Source organism: Homo sapiens, chromosome 2, assembly GCF_000001405.40.
Source record: "Homo sapiens chromosome 2, GRCh38.p14 Primary Assembly".
Classification (NCBI taxonomy): domain Eukaryota; kingdom Metazoa; phylum Chordata; class Mammalia; order Primates; family Hominidae; genus Homo; species Homo sapiens.
Genome location: NC_000002.12, coordinates 178634963 through 178660183, shown reverse-complemented (window position 1 = coordinate 178660183; position 25221 = coordinate 178634963). Strand labels below are relative to the sequence as shown.

Below are 25221 nucleotides of genomic sequence, written 5' to 3'. Positions count from 1 at the left end.
TTTCCAATTCTGTGAAGAGAGTCATTGATAGCTTGACGGAGATGGCATTGAATCTATAAATTACCTTGGGCAGTATGGCCATTTTCACGGTATTAGTTCTTCCTATCCATGAGCATGGAATGTTCTTCCATTTGTGTCCTCTTTTATTTCGTTGAGCAGTGGTTTGTAGTTCTCCTTGAAGAGGTCCTTCACATCCCTTGTAAGTTGGATTCCTAGGTATTTTATTCTCTTTGAAGCAACTGTGAATGGGAGGTCACTCACGATTTGGCTCTCTGTTTGTCTGTTATTGGTGCATAAGAATGCTTGTGATCTTTGCACATTGATTTTGTATCCTGAGACTTTGCTGAAGTTGCTTATCAGCTTAAGGAGATTTTGGGCTGAGACGATGGGGTTTTCTAGATATACAATCATGCCATCTGCAAACAGGGACAATTTGACTTCCTCTTTTCCTTATTGAATACCCTTTATTTCTTTCTCCTGCCTGATTGCCCTGGCCAGAACTTCCAACACTATGTTGAATAGGAGTGGTGAGAGAGGGCATCCCTGTCTTGTGCCAGTTTTCAAAGGGAATGCTTCCAGTTTTTGCCCATTCAGTATGATACTGGCTGTGGGTTTGTCATAAATAGCTCTTATTATTTTGAGATACGTCCCATCAATACCTAATTTATTGAGAGTCTTTAGCATGAAGGGCTGTTGAATTTTGTCAAAGGCCCTTTCTGCATCTATTGAGATAATCATGTGGTTTTTGTCGTTGGTTCTGTTTATATGATGGATTACGTTTATTGATTTTTGTATGTTGAATCAGCCTTCCATCCCAGGGATGAAGCCCACTTGATCATGGTGGATAAGCTTTTTGATGTGCTGCTGGAAAATATTTTTCTAGTGGTCTTCATAATGCCTAAATGTAATTTCACTAATATCTTTCAAGTGCCTGAGGCTCCCAAAGAAGTTGTTCCTGAAAAGAAAGTGCCAGTGCCTCCTCCTAAAAAGCCTGAAGTGCCACCCACAAAAGGTAGACACCCTCTTGTTGCTGTGTTTGATATTGTTTGTTTGTCTTTACTTTGTCTAATAATGAAAATACTAATATCTTTAAAGTCCCAGAGGTGCCAAAGGCAGCTGTCCCAGAAAAGAAGGTGCCTGAAGCTATTCCTCCCAAACCGGAAAGTCCTCCCCCTGAAGGTAATGCCAAAGCTATACAAACTATAGGAGAAAAATAACTGTTATTTTAACTAGGAAATTACATGTTAAAAATCCTACTACATAAAGATGATATAATTCTAAAGAAAACAAATGTCAATCACTATCCAAAATATCTTGGTGGGTGTTTATATGCAAAAGGCATCCATCGTTTTCACCTTTTCTAAACACAAATTACAAATATCTTTGAAGTGCCTGAAGTGCTGCCACCGAAGGAAGTGGTCCCAGAAAAGAAAGTACCGGTGCCTCCTGCCAAAAAGCCAGAAGCTCCACCTCCTAAAGGTAGGTATCATTACACATTGTCAGTCGGGGGGCCCTGGGGAAAGACTGTATAGAAGTGTCCGCCGATCTCACAAGTTGTATTTGCTTGGGTAAATGTGGAGTCGATATTCCCCCTTTATAGCTTCTAACTAAAAGATACTAATATCTTCAAAGTTCCTGAAGCTCCTAAAGAAGTTGTACTTGAAAAGAAAGCATCTGTGGCTGTGCCCAAAAAACCGGAAGCCCCACGTGCAAAAGGTATTTATTCCCTCTCCTCTGCTAAGAAAAACTTATCGTCTGTACCCCTCACAATCACTGTAATATATACCTTCACCATTCATAAATTATAAAAATACTAATATCTTTCAAGTGCCTGAAGCTGCTCAAGAAGTTGTCCCAGAAAAGAAAATTCCCAAGGCACCAATCAAAAAACCAGAAGCCCCCGCAGTTACAGGTACATGTCAGCTCAACCTTATCCTGCAGAAGAAATCTCTCTTCCATTCCTGAAAACAATTTTAGTCCATTCCTCTTCATTAACCTAAGTATAAAACTACTAATATCTTTCAAGTGCCAGAAGTTCCTCAAGAAGCCGCAGAAAAAGAAATTCCCGTGGCTCCACCCAAAAAACCAGAAGCTCCGATTGTCCCAGGTACACTTTAGCCCTGACTTCATTCTGCAGAAGAGATATCTCCTCTCCTACTGTAAACAATTTTAGCCCATTTCTCTTCATTAACTTAAGTCTAAAACTACTAATATCTTTCAAGTGCCTGAAGCTCAAGAAGTTGTCCCAGAAAAGAAAGTTCCTAAGGCTCCTCCCACAAAACCAGAAGCCCCACCTGCCACAGGTATTTTTTACCCCTGTCCTTTTTCTGCAGAAGAAATATCTCTTCTGATCTTAGAAATATTTTACTCCATTTGTCTCATTAACCTAAGTGAAAAACTACTAATATCTTTCAAGTGCCTGAAGTCCCACAAGAAATTGTGCCAGAAAAGAAAACACTGGTGCTTCCTAAAAAGCCAGAAGTTCCACCTGTTACAGGTACTTGTCATTTGACCTTAAGCTTCAGAAGATCCAATTCCTCTGCTGTATATTTTGCTAGTAGTCTCCATAGCTCCACATGTAACTTTACTAATATCTTTTAAGTGCCAGAGGCTCCCAAAGAAGTTGTCCTTGAAAAGAAAGTGCCCTCGACTCCTCCTAAAAAGCCTGAAGTCCCACCTGTTAAAGGTATTTGTCACTGATTTTAGGCTTCAGATGATCTATCTCTTGTGCTCTGGAAAATATTTTTCTTTTTATATATATATATATTTTTATTATACTTTAAGTTCTAGGGTACATGTGCACAACGTGCAGGTTGTTACGTATGTATACATGTGCCATGTTGGTGTGCTGCACCCACTAACTCGTCATTTACATTAGGTATGTCTCCTAATGCTATCCCTCCCCCATCCCCCCACCTCACAACACACTCCGGTGTGTGGTGTCCCCCTTCCTGTATCCATGTGTTCTCATTGTTCAATTCCCACCTATGAATGAGAACATGCAATGTTTGGTTTTTTATCCTTGTGATAGTTTGCCAAGAATGATGGTTTCCAGTTTCATCCATGTCCCTACAAAGGACATGAACTCATCATTTTTTATGGCTGCATAGTATTCCATGGAGTATATGTGGAACATTTTCTTAATCCAGTCTATCATTGATGGACATTTGGGTTGGTTCCAAGTCTTTGCTAATATGAATAGTGCCGCAATAAACATACGTGTGCACGTGTCTTTATAGCAGCATGATTTATAATCCTTTGGGTATATACCCAGTAATGGGATGGCTGGGTCAAATGGTATTTCTAGTTCTAGATCCCTGAGGAATCGCCACACTGACTTCCACAATGGTTGAACTAGTTTACAGTCCCAGCAACATTGTAAAAGTGTTCCTATTGCTCCACATCCTCTCCAGCGCCTGTCGTTTCCTGACTTTTTAATGATCACCATTCTAACTGGTGTGAGATGGTATCTCATTGTGGTTTTGATTTGCATTTCTCTGATGGCCAGTGATGATGAGCATTTTTTCTTGTGTATTTTGGCTGCATAAATGTCTTTTTTTGAGAAGTGTCTGTTTGTATCCTTCGCCCACTTGTTGATGGGGTTGTTTTTTTCTTACACGTTTGTTTGAGTTCATTGTAGATTCTGGATATTAGCCCTTCGTCAGATGAGTAGATTGCAAAAATTTTCTCCCATTCTGTGGGTTGCCTGTTCATTCTGATGGTAGTACCTTTGCTGTGCAGAAGCTCTTTAGTTTAATTCGATCCTATCTGTCAATTTTGGCTTTTGTTACCATTGCTTTTGGTATTTTAGACATGAAGTCCTTGCCCATGCCTATGTCCTGAATGGTATTGCCTAGGTTTTCTTCTAGGGTTTTTATGGTTTTAGGTCTAACATTTAAGTCTTTACTCCATCTTGAATTAATTTTTGTGTAAGGTGTAAGGAAGGGATCCAATTTCAGCTTTCTACATATGGCTAGCCAGTTTTCCCAGCACCATTTGCTAAATAGGGAACCCTTTCCCCATTTCTTGTTTTTGTCAGGTTTGTCAAAGATCAGATGGTTGCAGATGTGTGGTATTATTCTGAGGGCTCTGTTCTGTTCCATTGGTCTATATCTCTGTTTTGGTACCAGTACCATGCTGTTTTGGTTACTGTAGCCTTGTAATACAGTAGCGTGACGCCTCCAGCTTTGTTCTTTTGGCTTAGGATTGACTTGGCAATGTGGGCTCTTTTTTGGTTCCATATGAACTTTAAAGTAGTTTTTTCCAATTCTGTGAAGAGAGTCATTGATAGCTTGACGGAGATGGCATTGAATCTATAAATTACCTTGGGCAGTATGGCCATTTTCACGGTATTAGTTCTTCCTATCCATGAGCATGGAATGTTCTTCCATTTGTGTCCTCTTTTATTTCGTTGAGCAGTGGTTTGTAGTTCTCCTTGAAGAGGTCCTTCACATCCCTTGTAAGTTGGATTCCTAGGTATTTTATTCTCTTTGAAGCAACTGTGAATGGGAGGTCACTCACGATTTGGCTCTCTGTTTGTCTGTTATTGGTGCATAAGAATGCTTGTGATCTTTGCACATTGATTTTGTATCCTGAGACTTTGCTGAAGTTGCTTATCAGCTTAAGGAGATTTTGGGCTGAGACGATGGGGTTTTCTAGATATACAATCATGCCATCTGCAAACAGGGACAATTTGACTTCCTCTTTTCCTTATTGAATACCCTTTATTTCTTTCTCCTGCCTGATTGCCCTGGCCAGAACTTCCAACACTATGTTGAATAGGAGTGGTGAGAGAGGGCATCCCTGTCTTGTGCCAGTTTTCAAAGGGAATGCTTCCAGTTTTTGCCCATTCAGTATGATACTGGCTGTGGGTTTGTCATAAATAGCTCTTATTATTTTGAGATATGTCCCATCAATACCTAATTTATTGAGAGTCTTTAGCATGAAGGGCTGTTGAATTTTGTCAAAGGCCCTTTCTGCATCTATTGAGATAATCACGTGGTTTTTGTCGTTGGTTCTGTTTATATGATGGATTACGTTTATTGATTTTTGTATGTTGAATCAGCCTTCCATCCCAGGGATGAAGCCCACTTGATCATGGTGGATAAGCTTTTTGATGTGCTGCTGGAAAATATTTTTCTAGTGGTCTTCATAATGCCTAAATGTAATTTCACTAATATCTTTCAAGTGCCTGAGGCTCCCAAAGAAGTTGTTCCTGAAAAGAAAGTGCCAGTGCCTCCTCCTAAAAAGCCTGAAGTGCCACCCACAAAAGGTAGACACCCTCTTGTTGCTGTGTTTGATATTGTTTGTTTGTCTTTACTTTGTCTAATAATGAAAATACTAATATCTTTAAAGTCCCAGAGGTGCCAAAGGCAGCTGTCCCAGAAAAGAAGGTGCCTGAAGCTATTCCTCCCAAACCGGAAAGTCCTCCCCCTGAAGGTAATGCCAAAGCTATACAAACTATAGGAGAAAAATAACTGTTATTTTAACTAGGAAATTACATGTTAAAAATCCTACTACATAAAGATGATATAATTCTAAAGAAAACAAATGTCAATCACTATCCAAAATATCTTGGTGGGTGTTTATATGCAAAAGGCATCCATCATTTTCACCTTTTCTAAACACAAATTACAAATATCTTTGAAGTGCCTGAAGTGCTGCCACCGAAGGAAGTGGTCCCAGAAAAGAAAGTACCGGTGCCTCCTGCCAAAAAGCCAGAAGCTCCACCTCCTAAAGGTAGGTATCATTACACATTGTCAGTCGGGGGGCCCTGGGGAAAGACTGTATAGAAGTGTCCGCCGATCTCACAAGTTGTATTTGCTTGGGTAAATGTGGAGTCGATATTCCCCCTTTATAGCTTCTAACTAAAAGATACTAATATCTTCAAAGTTCCTGAAGCTCCTAAAGAAGTTGTACTTGAAAAGAAAGTATCTGTGGCTGTGCCCAAAAAACCGGAAGCCCCACGTGCAAAAGGTATTTATTCCCTCTCCTCTGCTAAGAATAACTTACTGTCTGTACCCCTCACAATCACTGTAATATATACCTTCGCCATTCATAAATTATAAAAATACTAATATCTTTCAAGTGCCTGAAGCTGCTCAAGAAGTTGTCCCAGAAAAGAAAATTCCCAAGGCACCAATCAAAAAACCAGAAGCCCCCGCAGTTACAGGTACATGTCAGCTCAACCTTATCCTGCAGAAGAAATCTCTCTTCCATTCCTGAAAACAATTTTAGTCCATTCCTCTTCATTAACCTAAGTATAAAACTACTAATATCTTTCAAGTGCCAGAAGTTCCTCAAGAAGCCGCAGAAAAAGAAATTCCCGTGGCTCCACCCAAAAAACCAGAAGCTCCAATTGTCCCAGGTACACTTTAGCCCTGACTTCATTCTGCAGAAGAGATATCTCCTCTCCTACTGTAAACAATTTTAGCCCATTTCTCTTCATTAACTTAAGTCTAAAACTACTAATATCTTTCAAGTGCCTGAAGCTCAAGAAGTTGTCCCAGAAAAGAAAGTTCCTAAGGCTCCTCCCACAAAACCAGAAGCCCCACCTGCCACAGGTATTTTTTACCCCTGTCCTTTTTCTGCAGAAGAAATATCTCTTCTGATCTTAGAAATATTTTACTCCATTTGTCTCATTAACCTAAGTGAAAAACTACTAATATCTTTCAAGTGCCTGAAGTCCCACAAGAAATTGTGCCAGAAAAGAAAACACTGGTGCTTCCTAAAAAGCCAGAAGTTCCACCTGTTACAGGTACTTGTCATTTGACCTTAAGCTTCAGAAGATCCAATTCCTCTGCTGTATATTTTGCTAGTAGTCTCCATAGCTCTACATGTAACTTTACTAATATCTTTTAAGTGCCAGAGGCTCCCAAAGAAGTTGTCCTTGAAAAGAAAGTGCCCTTGGCTCCTCCTAAAAAGCCTGAAGTCCCACCTGTTAAAGGTATTTGTCACTGACCTTAGGCTTCAGATGATCTAATTCTTTTGCAGTTGAAGACATTTTGTTCCAGTGGTCTTCATAACCCCTAAATGTAATTTTACCTAATATCTTTTAAGTGCCAGAGGCTCCCAAAGAAGTTGTTCCTGAAAAGAAAGTGCCAGTGACTCCTCCTAAAAAACCTGAAGTCCCACCTGTTAAAGGTATTTGTCACTGGCTTTAGGCTTCAGAAGACTGAACTCTTCATTTCTTGAAAATACTTTTCTAGTGGTCTTCAAACTTCTAAATGTAATTTCACTAATATCTTTTAAGTGCCAGAGGCTCCCATAGAGGTTGTTCCTGAAAAGAAAATGCCCTTGGCTCCTCCTAAAAAGCCTGAAGTCCCTCCTGTTAAAGGTATTTGTCACTGGCTTTAGGCTTCAGAAGATCAAACTCCTCTATTCTTGAAAATATTTTTTCTAGTGGTCTTCATAACCCCTAAATGTAATTTCACTAATATCTTTTAAGTACCAGAGGCTCCCAAAGAGGTTGTTCCTGAAAAGAAAGTGCCCTCGGCTCCTCCTAAAAAGCCTGAAGTCCCACCTGTTAAAGGTATTTGTCATTGAGTTTAAGCGTCAGAAGATCTATCTCTTCTACTCTTGAAAATATTTTTCCTAATGGTCTTCATAACTTCTAAATGTAATTTCACTAATATCTTTTAAGTGCCAGAGGCTCCGAAAGAAGTTGTTCCTGAAAAGAAAGTGCCAGCGGCTCCTCCTAAAAAGCCTGAAGTCACACCTGTTAAAGGTATTTGTCACTGATTTTAGGCTTCAGATGATCAAACTCTTCTGCTCTGGAAAGTATTTTTCTAGTGGTCTTCATAATGCCTAAATGTAATTTCACTATTATCTTTCAAGTGCCTGAGGCTCCCAAAGAAGTTGTTCCTGAAAAGAAAGTGCCAGTGCCTCCTCCTAAAAAGCCTGAAGTGCCACCCACAAAAGGTAGACACCCTCATGGTGCTGTGTTTGATATTGTTTGTTTGTCTTTACTTTGTCTAACAATGAAAATAATAATATCTTTTAAAGTCCCAGAGGTGCCAAAGGTAGCTGTCCCAGAAAAGAAGGTGCCTGAAGCTATTCCTCCCAAACCGGAAAGTCCTCCCCCTGAAGGTAATAATGAAACTATTCAAATTAGTGTTTTTTAAAAAAATCTTTCCTTAGTGTTGTAAAAACATTTTTTTGCAAACTATCTCAGTTTTAGTCAATTCTGGCATTAAAATGAGCTCATGTCTTTAAAGTGTTCGAGGAGCCTGAGGAAGTTGCCCTAGAAGAGCCTCCTGCTGAAGTTGTGGAAGAGCCAGAGCCAGCGGCGCCTCCACAAGGTACATGGCAAGAAAGCTGCTAGGACACCTCGGCCACTCTTTCCCCTTCCTGCCCTGATAATTCTGGGTGCTCTGAGCTTTTGTCTTGTTTCTCAATCTTCGTTCTTTCTAAAACATACCTTCTAATTCTTTAGTGACCGTACCACCTAAGAAACCTGTCCCAGAAAAGAAAGCACCTGCTGTCGTTGCCAAAAAACCTGAACTACCACCAGTGAAAGGTATTCCTCACTGCCACTAACTCCCTAACAAAAAACTTTCTTTGAAGTGTCATATTCTACTGTTCTGCTTCATGATTTTCACATTTCATTGAAACCATGAGCTTAAACAACTACTAATATCTTTTATAGTGCCCGAGGTGCCCAAGGAGGTTGTTCCTGAAAAGAAGGTGCCTCTGGTGGTTCCCAAAAAGCCAGAAGCCCCACCTGCTAAAGGTATATGTGGCTGTCCACTGTTTGATGGGGGCGGATGGAGCCCCCAGCTTCTAAAAGGGTTTTGTTCTGTGTAAATGTGATGAATGTTTACTGGTGATTGTTTCTAATGTTAAAATACTAATATATTTGAAGTGCCTGAAGTTCCAAAAGAAGTTGTTCCAGAAAAGAAAGTAGCTGTTCCCAAAAAGCCAGAAGTCCCACCAGCAAAAGGTACATGTCACTAATGAGATTCTGCAGAAAAGCACTCACCCTTGTCTAATAAGTCACCTATTATCAAACCTTTTGTTTGCGAGTCCTCTTAAATTTGCAACTACAAAACTGTCATTCTGGATTTTTAGGGTCTGAATACTTTTTAATAATTTTTTCATTGACTTTAAAAAGTGATATATTTACTTATTACAAGCATTGGAAAAGTTTACTAACTTGGTTCTTTTATTCTTAATAGGCCATATTTTCCTCCCCACTATATGAGGGTCCAAAGACAGATCACTGACCTTATTGTGAAATTTGTTCTTGGATCTGTCCCTGGGTTATTTGAGCAAAATGTGAAGTCGATGTGGTATAAATTTAATATACTTCTCAACTACTCATAAGAAAAATGAATTAATATCTTTAAAGTGCCAGAAGTGCCAAAGAAACCTGTCTTGGAAGAGAAACCAGCTGTTCCTGTTCCAGAAAGAGCGGAGTCTCCTCCCCCAGAAGGTACACGTGAGACCGGTGATTAATGACCTTGCCACTTGCGACTATTTCTAATTTAAGCTTTGTTCTTCTTCCTTCCTAACTCATTATTTCTTGGTCATTTTCTAACCTTTAATTATTTGTCTTAATTCATCATTCTAAATTAGCTCCAATCTCAAATCTATTTTGGGTTATTGGTCCACAGTATCTACATAAGTCATAGTAAGCTATATTAAACAAAGCTTCTCCAATGTACATAGAAAGTAAGGCAGGAGAACTAATGATTATAAATGACATTAAACACTAAAAGGGCTTTGCAAGCATTTGAATCAATAGACAAAGAAGTCAGTGCAAATGAGATAGATTTTATCTAAACAAAAATAAGAGAAGGTATCAATTGAAACAAAGGAAGAAATCAAGATTACTATTTATCGTGTTTAGTGTTTGTCCATCTTAGAATATTGTTCCATACATTGAAATAAAATTAACTAATATCTTTAAAGTATATGAAGAACCTGAGGAAATTGCTCCTGAAGAGGAAATTGCTCCTGAAGAGGAAAAGCCAGTTCCTGTTGCAGAAGAGGAGGAACCAGAGGTTCCACCTCCAGCAGGTACAAAGCAGAATCCACTGTATGGGAAAATACAGTCATTTCATTTTTCATGTCTATATATCTTCCTTAAGGCAAAATATCAGTCTTGTATCTTGTTGCCTGAAATCTGACTACATTAAGAACAAAAGTTATTTCTACACATAAAACTTTGGACCCACAGAATTTGGTCCCACATATACCAAGAAATATGTGTGGTTTTTAATTCATTCATTAGCATTAAATTTTTCATTGTAATCACCTAATTCTAAAAGAAATTCCTATTATTCAAGTGCCTGAAGAGCCCAAGAAGATCATCCCAGAGAAGAAAGTTCCTGTCATCAAAAAACCAGAAGCACCGCCTCCTAAAGGTACTCATGTTAAAATGAATACTTCATTTTTGTGGTGTCTACAATTTTACACTCTTCTTATTGTGTGTTGTGTTGTATTATATGTTTGTTAACTCTTACCTATATGTTACAGTGTTGAATAAACTTGTATGTATATCTTACATCTCACAACTTTGTATTATTAAATGCTACTGATATCTTTAAAGAACCTGAGATGCCAAAGAAAGTTGTTCCAGTGAAGAAGGTCCCAACTGTTAAGAAGCCAGAAACACCAGCAGCTAAAGGTATTCACTTCATCGTTGGCATCATAAAAAAGAAAGTATTCTGATATCTTAAAGTGGAATCCAATAAGTTGTCCTCATTGTTGTTGCATAACTAAGGACAAAAATTTCCTTATTTTGCTTTCATTAATTTTAATGCTGCTCCAATAAATACAGGTTTTTTATTCTTAATATTTTAAAATGTTTTTAAATACTATTTTTAAAACAAAACTAATATCTTCAAAGTGCCTGAGGTGCCCAAGAAACTTGTTCCAGTAAAGAAAGAACCTGTGCCTGTTACCAAAAAACCAGAAGTTCTTCCAGAAAAAGGTACCTACCATGAAGAAAAAATAGATTTCTCTAACTGCTATTTAAGCATGTTAATAATAGGTCTTAGAGAAAAACATACTGAATGTGAATTTATGTTAAAACCATATTGCACAGAAAAAAGGGAAATAATGAAGGGAAAAAAATGAAACAGACAAGCAGGAGTGAAAAAATGAGTGGGATTCAGTTGTGCTGTGATATATCACATGGCTACAACTAGTAGAAAAGAACCTTCTCTCATTCAATGTGTAAAACAGCTCAATTCAACATATTTTGTTGAATGTTGACCATTAACAAGACATCATATTAGAAAAATTAAGGCCTGATTCTGTCTTCAAATAAGTTAAATCTGGTGAGAGGATAGAAAGATAACAGGACTCTAATACAGACAGGAAGTGATTACACATAGCAAGTGAATACAAAAGGGCTGCAGAAACACACGGCAAGAAAAGATTAAGTTCAGGCAGAGGCATCATGGGAAGCTGTGTTAAACTGAATTTAAATTTTGATGGACTTTTACATGTAGAAATTGAGGAAATAAGGCCGGATGTGGTGGCTCACGCCTGTCATCCCAACACTTGGGGAGGCCAAGGTGGGTGGATCACTTGAGGTCAGGAGTTCAAGACCAGCCTGGCCAACATGGTGAAACCCCGTCTCTACTAAAAATACAAAAATTAGCTGGGGGTGGTGATATGTGCCTGTAATCCCAGCTACTTGGGAGGCTGAGGCAGGAGAATTGCTTGAACCCAGGAGGCAGAGGTTGCAGTGAGCTGAGATAATGCCACTGCACTCCAGCTTGGGTGACAGAGTGAGCCTCTGTCTCAAAAAAATTAAAAAAAAGAAATTGAGGACATGATATCCCATGGAAAGGGAAGAGCATATTGAAAGGCACAGAGATAGAAGGGTCTAGAATGTTCAAGGATTGTCAAGTAAACTTATGTCAAGTAAACTCAATTTGAGTATGGATTGGCTGTGGAATGTCTTGAAAGATAATACCAGATATAAAGATGGGGTCATATTTTGGAGTACTTCAAATGCCAGTAAAAGGCTTGTACTTTTTTCTGTAGGCAATAGGAAGCTTCAAAGATTTTGAAGCAGGCTTACATATTAATAGGATTTGGGCTTTAGAAAGATAACTGGCAGCAATTTCAGCTACTAAATAGTAAAGACCCATTGCAATTATTTAAGGTCTTTAAGAGTTGGACAAGATCCGTGGCGGCAGAAATGGAAAGGGGGACTGGGTTTGAAAGAGATGGAGACTTAGTGGCCTCTGACCATTATCAAAACCATTAGGGAAATTGAGGAGCCCAAGATCATTGTAAGGTTTAAAGCTAGATGGCCAAAAGAATGGTTCATTGGGTCTCTGAACTAACGTTAGAGGAAAATGGTAGATGTGCTTTTCACCTTTAAAGCATAAAAGTTGGGAGTGTGTATCAGGAGCTTAAGAAAGAGATCAGGCCTAGAGATGTAGATCTTAAAGTCATTCACATGTAAATAAGAATTGAGTGTGCAGGAACAATTACTCAGAAAATGTAGAGCAAATTTTTTTAAGTGTCAAAGTTAGACCACCTTCATTTAAGTGTACACAGAGGACTAGAAGCAAATGAAGAAAGCTGAGAAGATTCATATATAAAATTAGGATGTCCAAAATGGTGCCATGTCTCAGAAGCCATTTTCCCCATGAAATCTAAGATGAAGCTCTTGCCCCTGCATTCTTTGCCTGCTCTTTAGACAATCTTGCATGTCTTCTAAATTCTTAATAGTAAACAAAATCATATCTTTAAAGTGCCCAAAGTGCCTGAGAAAATCATCCCAGAAAAGGAAGTGTCTGTGCCTATCCCTGCAGAGCCAGAAGTTCCACCTGCTGAAGGTACACGGCTTCTCCATAAATCTTGGAAAGATGACAATTGTCTTCATCCTCTTGCTTTGATTGTAGATGAATCTTACGTATTTGTCTGTCTGTATTGAAGTTATTGATATTTGGGGGGTCATCTGAATAATCTGTTATAGAGTGTTACTTAATGTAACTAGGTTGATATGTTAGAATAGTAGTTGCAGTATTCTGTTCTAAATATAGTCTAAAATAAAATACTATGTTTTTTAAAGTTGAAGAGACTCCTGAGGAAATAATATATGAAGAAAAAGCATCTATAACCATTGGTAGAAAAGAGACTCCCCCTGTTGAAGGTATATATATATATATATATATACATTTTTTTAATCTCCTGAAGATTCCTGTTAGAATTACAAAAGCATTTACAGGACAATATTCCTTCTTGAAATTATATACAAGAGCAGTCTAGCATGTTTGACTGCTTTATTTTTGAAATAGTTACACTTCTTTTAAGTTAGAATCTTTAATTTAGTTACTGTTGTTGGTAATTACAATTTCCAAAAGGTACAGTTTACTGAAGCAAAATGGAATAATTGCCTTGGATCCTCAAATGATAACACGGTATCAAATTTTAAAAGTCATCTCATTTGCCATCAATATACATTGAATAATCTAATTAATAGGCAGTTCAAGTAAAAGAACTTTTTCTTATACGTGAATTTTTCTATACATGAATTTGTATGAATTGTATATTTTTATTTTGTGACTGTAATCTTTGCATCAATGTGAAATTTGTATGAGTCTTTTTGAAGAACTTTACATTGCAACCTCATCTCCTTTGTCAACATTCTTTAAAGAACGTGAAATTGAAAAGTATATTAAACCTGAAGAGCCCGAACCTGAACCACAGCCTGAAGAAATACCAGTAAAAGGTATTCAATCCAGTGGACTTAAATCTTCTTTATCATATTCTTTCTCTTGAAATGTATATGGTTTATGTTGTTGTACATATGTAGTATGTCTGTTCCCATTTGTATGTAAAGTATTCTTTGTTGTAAATGTGAGCCTCATTCTTAGGTTTCCATGTAACTTGTACTGTTTCTCTCATGTCAACTGTGGCTTGTCTGGATGCTTTGTTTGTTGTTGTTATTGGTGCCTTTGCTGTATTTCTCATCATCTTTGTAAAGGGTTGATATTTTTATGTTTTATGTTCTGTGTTTTATGTTGGATACTGGTATTACGTACCTTAAAAAGTAAACTTTGTACTTCATATATATATATATATATATATATATATATATATATATATATAATTTCTATTAAATATACTACATATCCACATGCTAACATATACATATACTAACACCTCTGAAATACTCTTTCAAGAACCTGAACCTGAAAAGGTTATTGAGAAGCCAAAACTCAAACCAAGACCCCCACCTCCTCCACCTGCTCCACCTAAGGAAGATGTGAAGGAGAAAATATTCCAACTTAAAGGTAAAAAATGCCACTTCCAAAGTTTTATTAGCCTGCTTCAAACTTCTATCCAGCCATCTGAAATGATGCTTGCAAGAAATGTATGACTTTTAGAAGTGTGTACTTTCAGACATGATTGTACTGTGAGATTGCATAGAGCTGTCTCTTCTGCTGCCCCATGGTTCCTGGGTTGCTTGTCATGCCATGCCTGCTGCTGCAAAAGTCAGAAAGTACATTGATAGCGTCATCCGGGATATCTGAATGCAGGCACTGTCCAATTAACTTTCTTTTGTGGAGTGGGGAGAAAGAGTTTTCTGATTTCAAAGCCTGATTGCTATACATATCATTGCGATCTTATGCTTAAGGAATGTATAAGAAATCCTTGCAAGATATTTTTAATATTGCAGTAACACATTTACATAAAAGCCAAAACTTTGTTCTTAAAGAATTGCATGTGCTTTTAAATATATTACAAGTAATATAGTTATGATTTCCAGTAGCTGATATGTGCCTATATATCATGAAAGGAAAGCATATGAATGACTTGTTACAGTTCCCCCATCTCTTTTTTTTTCTTGCAACTTAAAGAAGTGTTCTGTGTGGTTCTCAGGGGAGCTGGAAAGAGTGGTTATGAAGACATTTGGTATCCAGCATTTATTATTAAACTTCCCTTCCCCCTTCTTATATTTTGATTTTTCTATGAATTGACACAATGTTACTTAATTTTAAAAATATCAGTTTCTTTAAAAGCTGAAATAAACTGGCAGAAACATATTATTCTTATTTTAATAAAAAGTTGTCTTGTGACGTCATATGATTCCCCAATCTAAAATTATCTAGATATAATCTTAGATATGCACTTTCCCTATACAGACCTATGTATCTTCAAACCACAGTCTTCCAGCATAAGACATTGCTGCTGGTGATTCTTGCCCTCTACAACCCTCATAGCCATTAGGGGGACCTTCTGGCACCTCTTGAAAGGCCACCCATCTGTTAATTGACACTCCATGAAGACACACACATAAATACATTTCCCTTAATGTAAAATATATGCTTAAAGGAAAATTTCTTCCTCCTGCCAATAACAAAAATTGTCTTCTTTTTCTGCTGGTCTTTAATTAACTACTGAACTTTGGAGTAAAACTGCAGTCTGTTTTCATGGTTCGAATGCTGCTTGTATGTTCTTTGAAGGCTGTTCTTGGCTGTTATTAATGCTTTCTGGTTATAAGCAAAGCTTGGTTTTGATTCTTGGAGTAGAAAGTTAATCACTTGCTTCAGATTAAATATACAAATAACAAAAGTAAAATCATATTCTTTAAAGCTATTCCAAAGAAGAAAGTTCCTGAAAAACCTCAGGTTCCAGAAAAAGTGGAGCTTACACCTCTGAAAGGTATTTCACAGGCTGAAAAATACATACTTATGTAGTACCCCTTTACCTGACTCCTTGCTCTTTCTGCCTCCATCGAATGTTCTGTCTCTCTTTTTCAATGATCAGAGAGTAGTCCCATTCATTTCTTATATTTCTGTGGCTTTTATGGTCCTGGCTCATGAGTGTTGCTTCCTTTGTCTCCCATCCATTTCATACATGTATAGACATGGTCTATCTTTGTCTCATCTACATATGTCTTCTTGCATTTTCCTAAACTTAAAAATAACAAATTTTACTGGTTAGCCAAAATTGATATCAAGAGACATATGAGATTAAAATGCTGAGAGCTAGTAGTAAACTGTTTTGACATTTCACCTGACATAAAAATTTTAGCCAATGTAATAAGCACTAAAAATAAGTCCTATCTTCCTTTTATATTATTAAGGTTATTTGTAGGGATTTCCTTAGGACTTTCATGTCACTCTCTTCTCACTGGCTCTAAGTCATTCTCTGAGGGGTACGGAACTCACATTTCAGAAAAATTTCCTTATTACTGTAGGTAATTTTTCAAAATGTATTTTTCTGTAAACAATATTTTCCCTAATAAGGTCTCATCTAAAATTAGACCCTAAAGAAAACTAAATGAATTATAAGAGTCTAGAAAACATCTATCAAAAATAAACATAATTTTTCTAATGGGTAGTAGTGTTCTGTTCAAGTAATCAACACATTCAGACCTAGAAATTAAGACTGTTTCTGGTCACTCTGAAATTTTGGGGAAAAAAGTCACCCATATAAATATACATTTCCTGATTTCATAAAGAGGCAATTACAAAATAATGTTATCATGGATATTGATCATAAACATTAAAATAGCATATAATCACATATAATGACTTTAAAAATAATAGCTACAATGTTGGGTTCTCAAACATCAATAAGATTTTTAAAATCAAATAATAATATAAAAAATGCACAGATATATTTTCACTATGTTCATTATATCAGTAAAGAAAATCTATATTATGCCTCCTCACTTTACATTAATTAGATGCATGTGCTTCCTTCTGGGTTTGAGCAATAAAAATAGTTATTAAGAAGATTGGTACCTCTAAAATAGTATTGAAGGCCAACACAATTTATCCTGGATAAAATACGTAATGTTTAACTTTAAAATTTTTACTTAAAATATTTGACATTAAAAAAATGATTATTCAAAACGAAATACATATTTGCCTATTGTAGGTTTAAATTTTTGAAATAAGAGTTAAGCAGTTATCTTTATCACATAAAAAACCATTTAATGAATTGCAAATATCTTGTTTAAAGCCCTAAATAGGAAGTTTTATAGAAATATCTAAAAATTCAGATTCCTAATAGCAAATAGTTACACAATACAAATAAATACTGTTTTAAATTAGATTTTAATTGACATTAGTAGAGAGGAAAATGGTTTAATAATCACCACGTGTTCCTTTCTTTCACCATTCAAATCTATGAGGGCCATAATAGCAAAAGAGGCTGCTCTATAAAATAGCATCATCCACCATGCTCAGTATTCACTGTAGACGCAACAGGAAATTTTGAATTCCTTGCGTTCCTTAATTTGAATGAATTTAAGAACATTTTCTTATTCATGAAAAACGAGCTTCCAACACCAGCTTTGAAATTTTATAATTCTATAATTTTAAATATTTTATCCAGCATTATTTCAAAAAGGAAATCTTAAGAAAGGCTACTCTTCTTCTGTTCAGAAAGTGAGATATGGCCCTTCCCCAGCATCAAAGTCACAAACCGGAACTCTTGGCCACCTTCTTCCCTCAGTGGAGAAGACTGAATGATGGCACTAACACTTGCCAGTATCATTTTCATACATTTAGTGGTTGGGTAGATAACATCGTAGATTTGGACAATCTACAATTGCAGTTTGGGACAAAGATGCTGTCAAGAACCCTGTAATTTGATGAAAGATTCATAAAGTCAGTATGGAGCAACATCCTCTACATGCATTTAAAATGAATACATTTGCCTGCAGTTAATGGAGTTGAATTTCATCACAAGGCTGTATAGATATTTGCAGAGGAGATAACTTGAAATGTATCATTTAAACTTAAATTCTGTGGTATTTATATGCAGCGAAAATTGTTACTTAATGCACTACAGTTAACTAGTTTTAGGAGAGACATTTTTCTTGTTGAAATTCCGTTTTTATATAAATTCACTTCAAAATTTGAAATCATATTCTTTTAAGTGCCTGGAGGTGAAAAGAAAGTTCGCAAATTACTTCCGGAACGTAAACCTGAACCAAAGGAAGAAGTTGTTCTGAAAAGCGGTATAGTATTTTTCAACCATTCTGTCAGCGTTAAGTATATTTTAAAAATGAACTTGAAAGCTTACAAAATGTTTCTGTCCTTTGGTTTTCTTTGAATTGGTTCGCTATTTATCAAAATTTGTTTGTAGTTTCATTGAAAATTAAGAAAAATGTCATTTCCAGATCTTTTTTTTTAAAAAAAAAAGACAGAAATTTTGTGAGCATTCACAGTATTTTGAAATTTAAAATGTTAATAGACATAACTAAGTTGATAATATTCTAAACTAACAACAACTATGACTGCCATTTTCATAACCAAATTATGTAGTAAAGTACACTAAACCTATTAAATACCTTACATGAAACTACTTTAGCTTAAATTCAATATTCAGTTTTAAAGTGTGACACAGGATCACCACAACTAATAAATAACATTTTTAAAAAACTGAACATTTCTTTCTGACTAATAAAATATTAAAGAATGAGAAACAAGATAGTCAAATGAAGAATTAAGTTCTAACATTGTCTTCACATAGAATTACTGATTTTTAGGCTACATTTCTTCAGATATCTCTGCTTAAGTAAACTTTCTACTTATTTACATACTCATTAAATCATTAACATTTAATTATTATTATAATTCGTTGCTATTCAAATTATTCATTTTGTGTTGGAGCTGTTTCTCCCACAGACTTGTCTCAGAATAGACCCTCTATCTAGATAGAAACAAAGTAACTTTGAGTGCTATTATAATTGACAACCTTTGATTTTAAAAAAAACAAAACAAAAAACACTTTCGGTGTAAATGCTTACTTTCCAGAGTGCTAGGTAGCATGCTTTTTTTCATTTTCCTTGCTTTGTACATTATTTGCATTTGTCAAGCTTATTCAACATCTTCATTAGTTTGTCTTGGTTTACATATAAACCTTTTTGTCTTTAAAGTTCTAAGAAAAAGACCTGAAGAAGAAGAACCTAAAGTAGAACCTAAAAAACTAGAAAAAGTTAAAAAACCTGCAGGTAGGAATCTCAGTGACAATTTGTAAGATTATCTTTTAACAAAATGGACATTTAACAAAAGGTTTATCTTGTAAACATAAATGAAGTTAGATGTAAACATGGCTTCATATTTCATCTGTGATGTAGTCTCTGTTTTCCATTGTCTGCTTTCTGTTTAAATATTTTTATAGTAATTCCCAAATCCATTCATGTATTTCCCTGCACTTCATTCTTATCATTACTTTGCAACTTAAGTTCTTCCAGTAGAAATGACTGAAATAATCAAGTGGCTATTCATGGGAGGGTGTCAGCAAAGGTTTCATAATCTGGGGGCTTTTAAATGGGTTGGTTTTTATCATTAGCCTATTCTCAAAGGGCAAAATTATTGGGAACTATTATAGAAGTGATTTAGAAGGAGAGAGCTAAGGGGAGTGGAAGATAAGTGGATGGAATAAAAGGAAGAAAAATAAATGGAAGCAGAGTCAAGAAAATAAAATAGAAATTACTTGATAAACTATAAGGTTTTTTAAAAAACCATCCATAGAGTTTTTGAAAAATAAATTGATATTTCAGATGAGGTGCTTCCTAAATATTCAAATATTAACACTGAAAAAATAATCTTATCTTAAAGTACCAGAACCACCACCTCCAAAACCTGTTGAAGAGGTTGAAGTACCTACTGTTACAAAAAGGGAAAGGAAGATTCCTGAACCAACAAAAGGTACAAATCTACTGTCATTCTTAGTTGTCTCTAAAAATGCAAATATGTATCATTTAAAATATCATTACACTGACATCAAGATTTGAACACATGACCTTAATCTGTTAATCACATATGGCTTAATTTTCTTTACCATCTCACTCTCCTATGCAATTGGCTAATGATTACTCAGTTGCTAAATAAGTTACCTGAAAAAAAATTGTATTTATGGGCAATGAGATAAATAACAACATTAAAACCAAGAACATTGCCTTACTATATTTTCCAAATATTTTGTTTAAAATGAAAACTAATCAAATACTTGATTTGATAATTATATGTATATAAATTCTAATATCTTCCAAGATACGTGGGCTTAATTTTAGTTTTGACTTTGTGAAAAACTTCAAAAATCCTGTAATAATCTGCCCTCTACTCTAAATTATTTCAGTGCCTGAAATCAAGCCAGCAATACCTCTCCCTGCACCTGAACCGAAACCAAAGCCCGAAGCAGGTGAGCAAGCTTATCCTCAATGTCAACAGCATATTCTTTCTGTATTCACACACATAACATGTACTTAATAAAAGATAGTAGGTGAAAGTCAGTATGTATCAAATGATTTCTAACGTCTCAAAATGCTTAATATACTATTCTCTTAAAAACTAGTTATTTGAAGATTTCAAAATTATATCAGAAGAGGCAAATAAGCTACCAAATAAGTTTTTAGGAAGTGACAAATTGATACACTAATGCAATGGACTTCTCTCTACAGAAGTGAAAACAATCAAACCACCTCCTGTGGAACCTGAACCAACCCCCATCGCTGCCCCAGTAACAGTGCCAGTGGTTGGAAAGAAAGCAGGTATTTATCCTGTAGCTTTCTTTTTGCTAGTTTGTTTTGGTGACTTAATAAAAGTATTCACACTTGATTAAAATTCAAGCCCTGTTTATGCTGCAACATAGGTATCATTTCAACTTCGGAGGTTTATGGTAAGTTTCTACCTTTTCTTCATGTGATATCCTTTATCCACCTTGTCTCTTGCCCAGTGGGTGAATATTGTGCCTTAACTGGAATGTACGTTCCTGGGTTGCACCATTTCTTTCATATGCTTTGGAGATTAAGTAATGAATATGTTTGGGGCTGATAAAAACTAAGGAGACAGGCAGAGACCCTGTAAGGGTATACATATAAGAATCCCATGAAGCTTCAAATTTCCCTTATACCCTATTGGAACAATTTCTCTTTTTTAAAAAAGTGTGTATATTGGGATAATGTAAAAGTTCTGGAAATGGATAGTGTTGATGGTTGTACAATATTGTGAATGTATTTCATGCAACTGAATTGAATACTTAAAAATGGCTAAAATGGTAAATTTTATGTTAGGTATATTTTACCACAATAAGAAAGAAAAAGAAAAAAGAGACTCCATATTTCAGTCTTTTAATCTGTATAAGGAATTAGATCAATAATAATTTTCTTAAATGTTCTAACTTAATGATATAGGTATCTCAAGTCCAAACTTAAAGCACCTATTAATTGTATATGAACTATTTAGTATAGTTCATCATTTAAGTGATAATTTGAGATATAATTGATCAAAACTGATTTGATGTGTAATTGATAGTCATTGATAAACATACACATCCTGACTATTTGCCCTTTGGCTCACTATCTGGGTGATGAGATCACTCATATCCCAGACCTCAGCATCATGAAATATATCCACATAACAAAACTGCACATGCATCCCATGAGTTTAAAATAAAAGTTGAAATTATTTTTTTAAAAAAGAAACAACAAAACCAAAAATAAAACAAAGTAAATTTAAAGCGGGGGCGGTGGTGGTGGGGTGGGGAGAAGGCATGTATTGATAATTTTCTAAGATGTGAAGAATCTAAGATATTCAATATAATGCCTTGACAATTTGTTCCTATGGAAAAATGATCATCTCCACTGATAAAGCACAAAATAAAAAATTCAGGGTGAATTTAAAAAAAAAAAAAGAGAACTATTTGTTACATTCCACAGTGAGATGTGCATAGGCCCCGGGAATAACATTTAGAAATGTCCATAATAGTTTGACAGAGAAATTTTTTAATTTAATTTTCTGAACCTAATAATAAAAATTGGCTTATATCTTTAATAAATCAATAAATAAAACTATTTGGAAAAATTATATTATTTTAGATTATTAATTCAATAATTAGTCATTTTATATTTGTTTATATATTTTTATATAAATTATTTAGAAATTTTTTTATTTAAAATTATCTCAAAATATTTGGACATTACCATGTTTAATGACATAAAAAAATACACTATATTCTTTTGACTGTAGTTTAATTTTTAATATTTGTGTTATATTTTGTTGCTGATGTTTATGATTTGGGCATATTCTTTTAAACTTTTATAATGTCAACGTAGTACTTTTATTATTCAGAAAAAGGTGATGAACTGCTCTTGTCTAATTAAGTATGTATAAAAATAAAGCTATTCTCAGTTATCCTGGGGGCTGAAGCTAGAGAACTCATTCCACAGTTTATACTGTCCCTGTATTAATAATGGAATCAAACTCTAAATGTCAGAACTCTCTTGCTTCTGCCTTACTTCATTGTCTAAAGGAAATCTTCAAAGAAACTCATGCATGTGTGGTACATGGACTCTTTTTCCTTAGTCTTCCCTGGATTTGTTTGTCTGCCCAATTTAGACATAAAAAGAAAGGCTTTTGGTAACCTCTCAGCCATTTCCCTTTTCCCTACACTGATTTATTGACAAAACCTTATTTCCTTGGTTCACATAATCAGGACTTACATAAACATATAAAATATTTTGCACAGCTAGGCAGGAGCAAAACTTTTCCTCACAAGGCAACAGTAAGCCTTCCAAAAATGGGAAGATAATAAGGCACTTGCTGAAAGAAGTTGTTAATCCTAAATATGTTGGCAGTTTAGCTTGAGCTCTTCAGTCTCAGAATATGCCTTCCTGGAAATGTGATTATCCATAGAAGTCATATAAATGAAACCAATTTCTCTTTATGCGTTAATATTTATAATGGAGCATGACTCACCCTCCATGGTTTACTATTAAACATGAAATAAGTCCGAAAAGTGTTTAAATGCTGAGTTTTATTTTTATTTCAGAAGCCAAAGCACCTAAGGAAGAGGCTGCCAAGCCAAAAGGTCCTATCAAAGGTGAAATTCATTTTTCTAGTACTTGCATTGTAACCTTCCACTCTGAATTTCCAAAGTTCATATTCAAGGGGAAAAAAATTTCAAAATTCATAACAATTTTTATTTTTTCTAATTGATTCTACTAAAACTAGCATGTTTTCTGATATTTCAAATAATACTTTTAGTATTATGCAAGGAGATATATATATATATATATATATATATATATATATATATATATATCCAACTATATTTTAGCATAGTGAATCCCATAAGTTCTTAGCTTCATTTTTCATATGCATGGTATTTATACATGGCAGATAAAATAATTAGACATTAATCTGGCTATTTTATACTTCAGATTAAAACTTGAGAAAAGGGACATTTATTATTCATGGATTCCTTATACCATCTCATTTTCCTGCCTGAAACAAGGCAGTATAAACTCAATTGGCCTTTCAATTGCCTGGTCTTTAGTTTTCTCGTCTTCTAATTGCTTTACGGCTGGTTTTATCCAGCAGGCAGCCAAGTATGAACTTTCTGACTCCTAAGGAGATGCCAAATCAACTTTTTATTTTACTTTGAATTAGGTGTACCCAAAAAGACTCCTTCACCAATAGAAGCCGAAAGGAGAAAGTTAAGGCCAGGAAGTGGTGGAGAGAAACCTCCTGATGAAGCCCCGTTCACCTACCAGCTAAAGGCTGTGCCACTGAAGTTTGTGAAAGAAATCAAAGACATCATCTTGACAGAATCAGAGTTCGTTGGCTCTTCAGCAATCTTTGAATGTTTGGTCTCCCCTTCCACTGCAATTACAACCTGGATGAAAGACGGTAGCAATATCCGTGAGAGTCCCAAGCACAGGTTTATTGCAGATGGTAAAGACAGAAAGCTGCACATCATTGATGTTCAACTTTCCGATGCTGGTGAATACACCTGTGTTTTACGTTTGGGAAACAAAGAAAAGACCTCCACGGCTAAACTTGTTGTAGAAGGTAATTTCTAGTCTTCTGAACATAATCTATATTAAACTTTAATGTAACAAACCTTAGTAGCAACTTGCATTGTAGTTTTACAAAACCTCTTATTTCCAAGTTTTATTTCATTGAAAATATTGTATTTATTGAAATATATACTGAAATTCTCCATAGAACTTCCTGTGCGTTTTGTAAAAACACTGGAAGAGGAAGTCACAGTGGTCAAAGGACAGCCATTGTACTTGAGCTGCGAGTTAAACAAAGAGCGTGACGTGGTCTGGAGGAAGGATGGCAAGATTGTGGTGGAGAAACCTGGCCGAATTGTGCCAGGCGTCATTGGCTTGATGCGGGCTCTGACCATCAACGATGCAGATGACACAGATGCTGGAACATACACAGTTACTGTGGAAAACGCCAACAACCTGGAGTGTTCATCTTGCGTAAAAGTAGTAGGTTAGTACTTTCCTGGGAGATTTCGTTCTGCTTATTGTTACACTAAGAAAATGGAAGAAAGGACCTCGTTTCCCAGTATTACAATATCAGAAATCTTGTACCTAAGAGGGGAATAACAATATATCCTACAGTGGATTAATTATGCCCAGTATTGTGAAATTTTTCCTATTCCTGAAATTTACTAAGGAAGCTATGTATATTACTTGTTCAGACCTTAATCATTTTTTCTGATCTTATTTTCATATAGAAGTCATTAGAGATTGGCTGGTGAAACCTATACGAGACCAGCATGTGAAACCCAAGGGGACAGCTATTTTTGCCTGTGATATAGCAAAAGATACTCCAAACATTAAGTGGTTCAAAGGATATGATGAAATCCCTGCGGAACCAAATGATAAGACTGAAATACTGAGAGATGGAAATCATCTGTACCTCAAAATTAAGAATGCTATGCCAGAAGATATTGCTGAGTATGCAGTGGAAATTGAAGGAAAAAGATACCCTGCAAAGCTGACACTTGGAGGTATAAAATCTTACCTTTTATTCAAATTATAAGTTTTGCGTATGTGTAAAGCCAAATAACACACCAAAACACATAAAAGCAAAGCATCGTTGGGTTGTCTAAAGCATTATGTTACTTCATCCCTGACCAATACAGAGCGTGAAGTTGAACTGCTTAAACCAATAGAGGACGTTACCATTTATGAGAAAGAAAGTGCAAGCTTTGATGCAGAAATCTCAGAGGCAGACATTCCTGGACAATGGAAACTGAAAGGAGAACTTCTAAGGCCCTCACCTGTGAGTAATTTCACATTTTAAATTGTTAGTCATATAAAATAACCACATCCAATATTCAGGATCTATATCCTAGATTCGGGTTGCTTTAATAATAATGGAGTTAATGGAGTCTTCTAAAGTCTCCAAGAAGGAAAGAAATTTTACGTATCATTTGGGGACAACTTGAACAATTTGTGTAAAATGTTATGACAGGGAATTCTCT

At 35.6% G+C, this 25221-nt stretch overlaps 1 protein-coding gene and 1 long non-coding RNA gene across 22 annotated transcripts in view; one reads left to right on the top strand and one right to left on the bottom strand.

The window, feature by feature from the left end:
- Positions 1 to 17867, bottom strand: part of LOC124906100 (uncharacterized) — a 71929-nt gene extending 54062 nt beyond the window's left edge. Inside the window, exon 1 of the long non-coding RNA XR_007087318.1 lies at positions 15683 to 17867. This is a non-coding gene — a long non-coding RNA (uncharacterized LOC124906100). The remainder of the gene's footprint in view (positions 1 to 15682) is intronic.
- Positions 1 to 25221, top strand: part of TTN (titin) — a 281435-nt gene that overhangs the window by 147240 nt on the left and 108974 nt on the right. For 7 of the 21 annotated variants that reach the window (NM_003319.4, NM_133437.4, NM_133432.3 and 4 more), the window contains 10 exons: positions 17867 to 17947; positions 18869 to 18943; positions 19554 to 19643; positions 20074 to 20136; positions 20396 to 20485; positions 22765 to 22815; positions 23385 to 23786; positions 23943 to 24221; positions 24469 to 24744; positions 24880 to 25019. In NM_003319.4, the coding sequence (NP_003310.4) occupies positions 17867 to 17947; positions 18869 to 18943; positions 19554 to 19643; positions 20074 to 20136; positions 20396 to 20485; positions 22765 to 22815; positions 23385 to 23786; positions 23943 to 24221; positions 24469 to 24744; positions 24880 to 25019 (1547 nt within the window). Of the gene's footprint in view, positions 1 to 885; positions 1013 to 1095; positions 1180 to 1389; positions 1480 to 1632; positions 1717 to 1828; positions 1913 to 2026; positions 2108 to 2222; positions 2304 to 2416; positions 2498 to 2602; positions 2687 to 5188; positions 5273 to 5355; positions 5440 to 5649; positions 5740 to 5892; positions 5977 to 6088; positions 6173 to 6286; positions 6368 to 6482; positions 6564 to 6676; positions 6758 to 6862; positions 6947 to 7059; positions 7144 to 7252; positions 7337 to 7447; positions 7532 to 7642; positions 7727 to 7836; positions 7921 to 8004; positions 8089 to 8216; positions 8301 to 8434; positions 8519 to 8647; positions 8732 to 8863; positions 8942 to 9349; positions 9434 to 9912; positions 10021 to 10289; positions 10368 to 10552; positions 10631 to 10852; positions 10937 to 12719; positions 12804 to 13039; positions 13121 to 13624; positions 13700 to 14153; positions 14265 to 15567; positions 15637 to 17866; positions 17948 to 18868; positions 18944 to 19553; positions 19644 to 20073; positions 20137 to 20395; positions 20486 to 22764; positions 22816 to 23384; positions 23787 to 23942; positions 24222 to 24468; positions 24745 to 24879; positions 25020 to 25221 lie in introns of all 21 variants that reach the window. The other 14 variants (XM_017004821.1, NM_001267550.2, XM_017004820.1 and 11 more) reach the window with 8 other exon arrangements.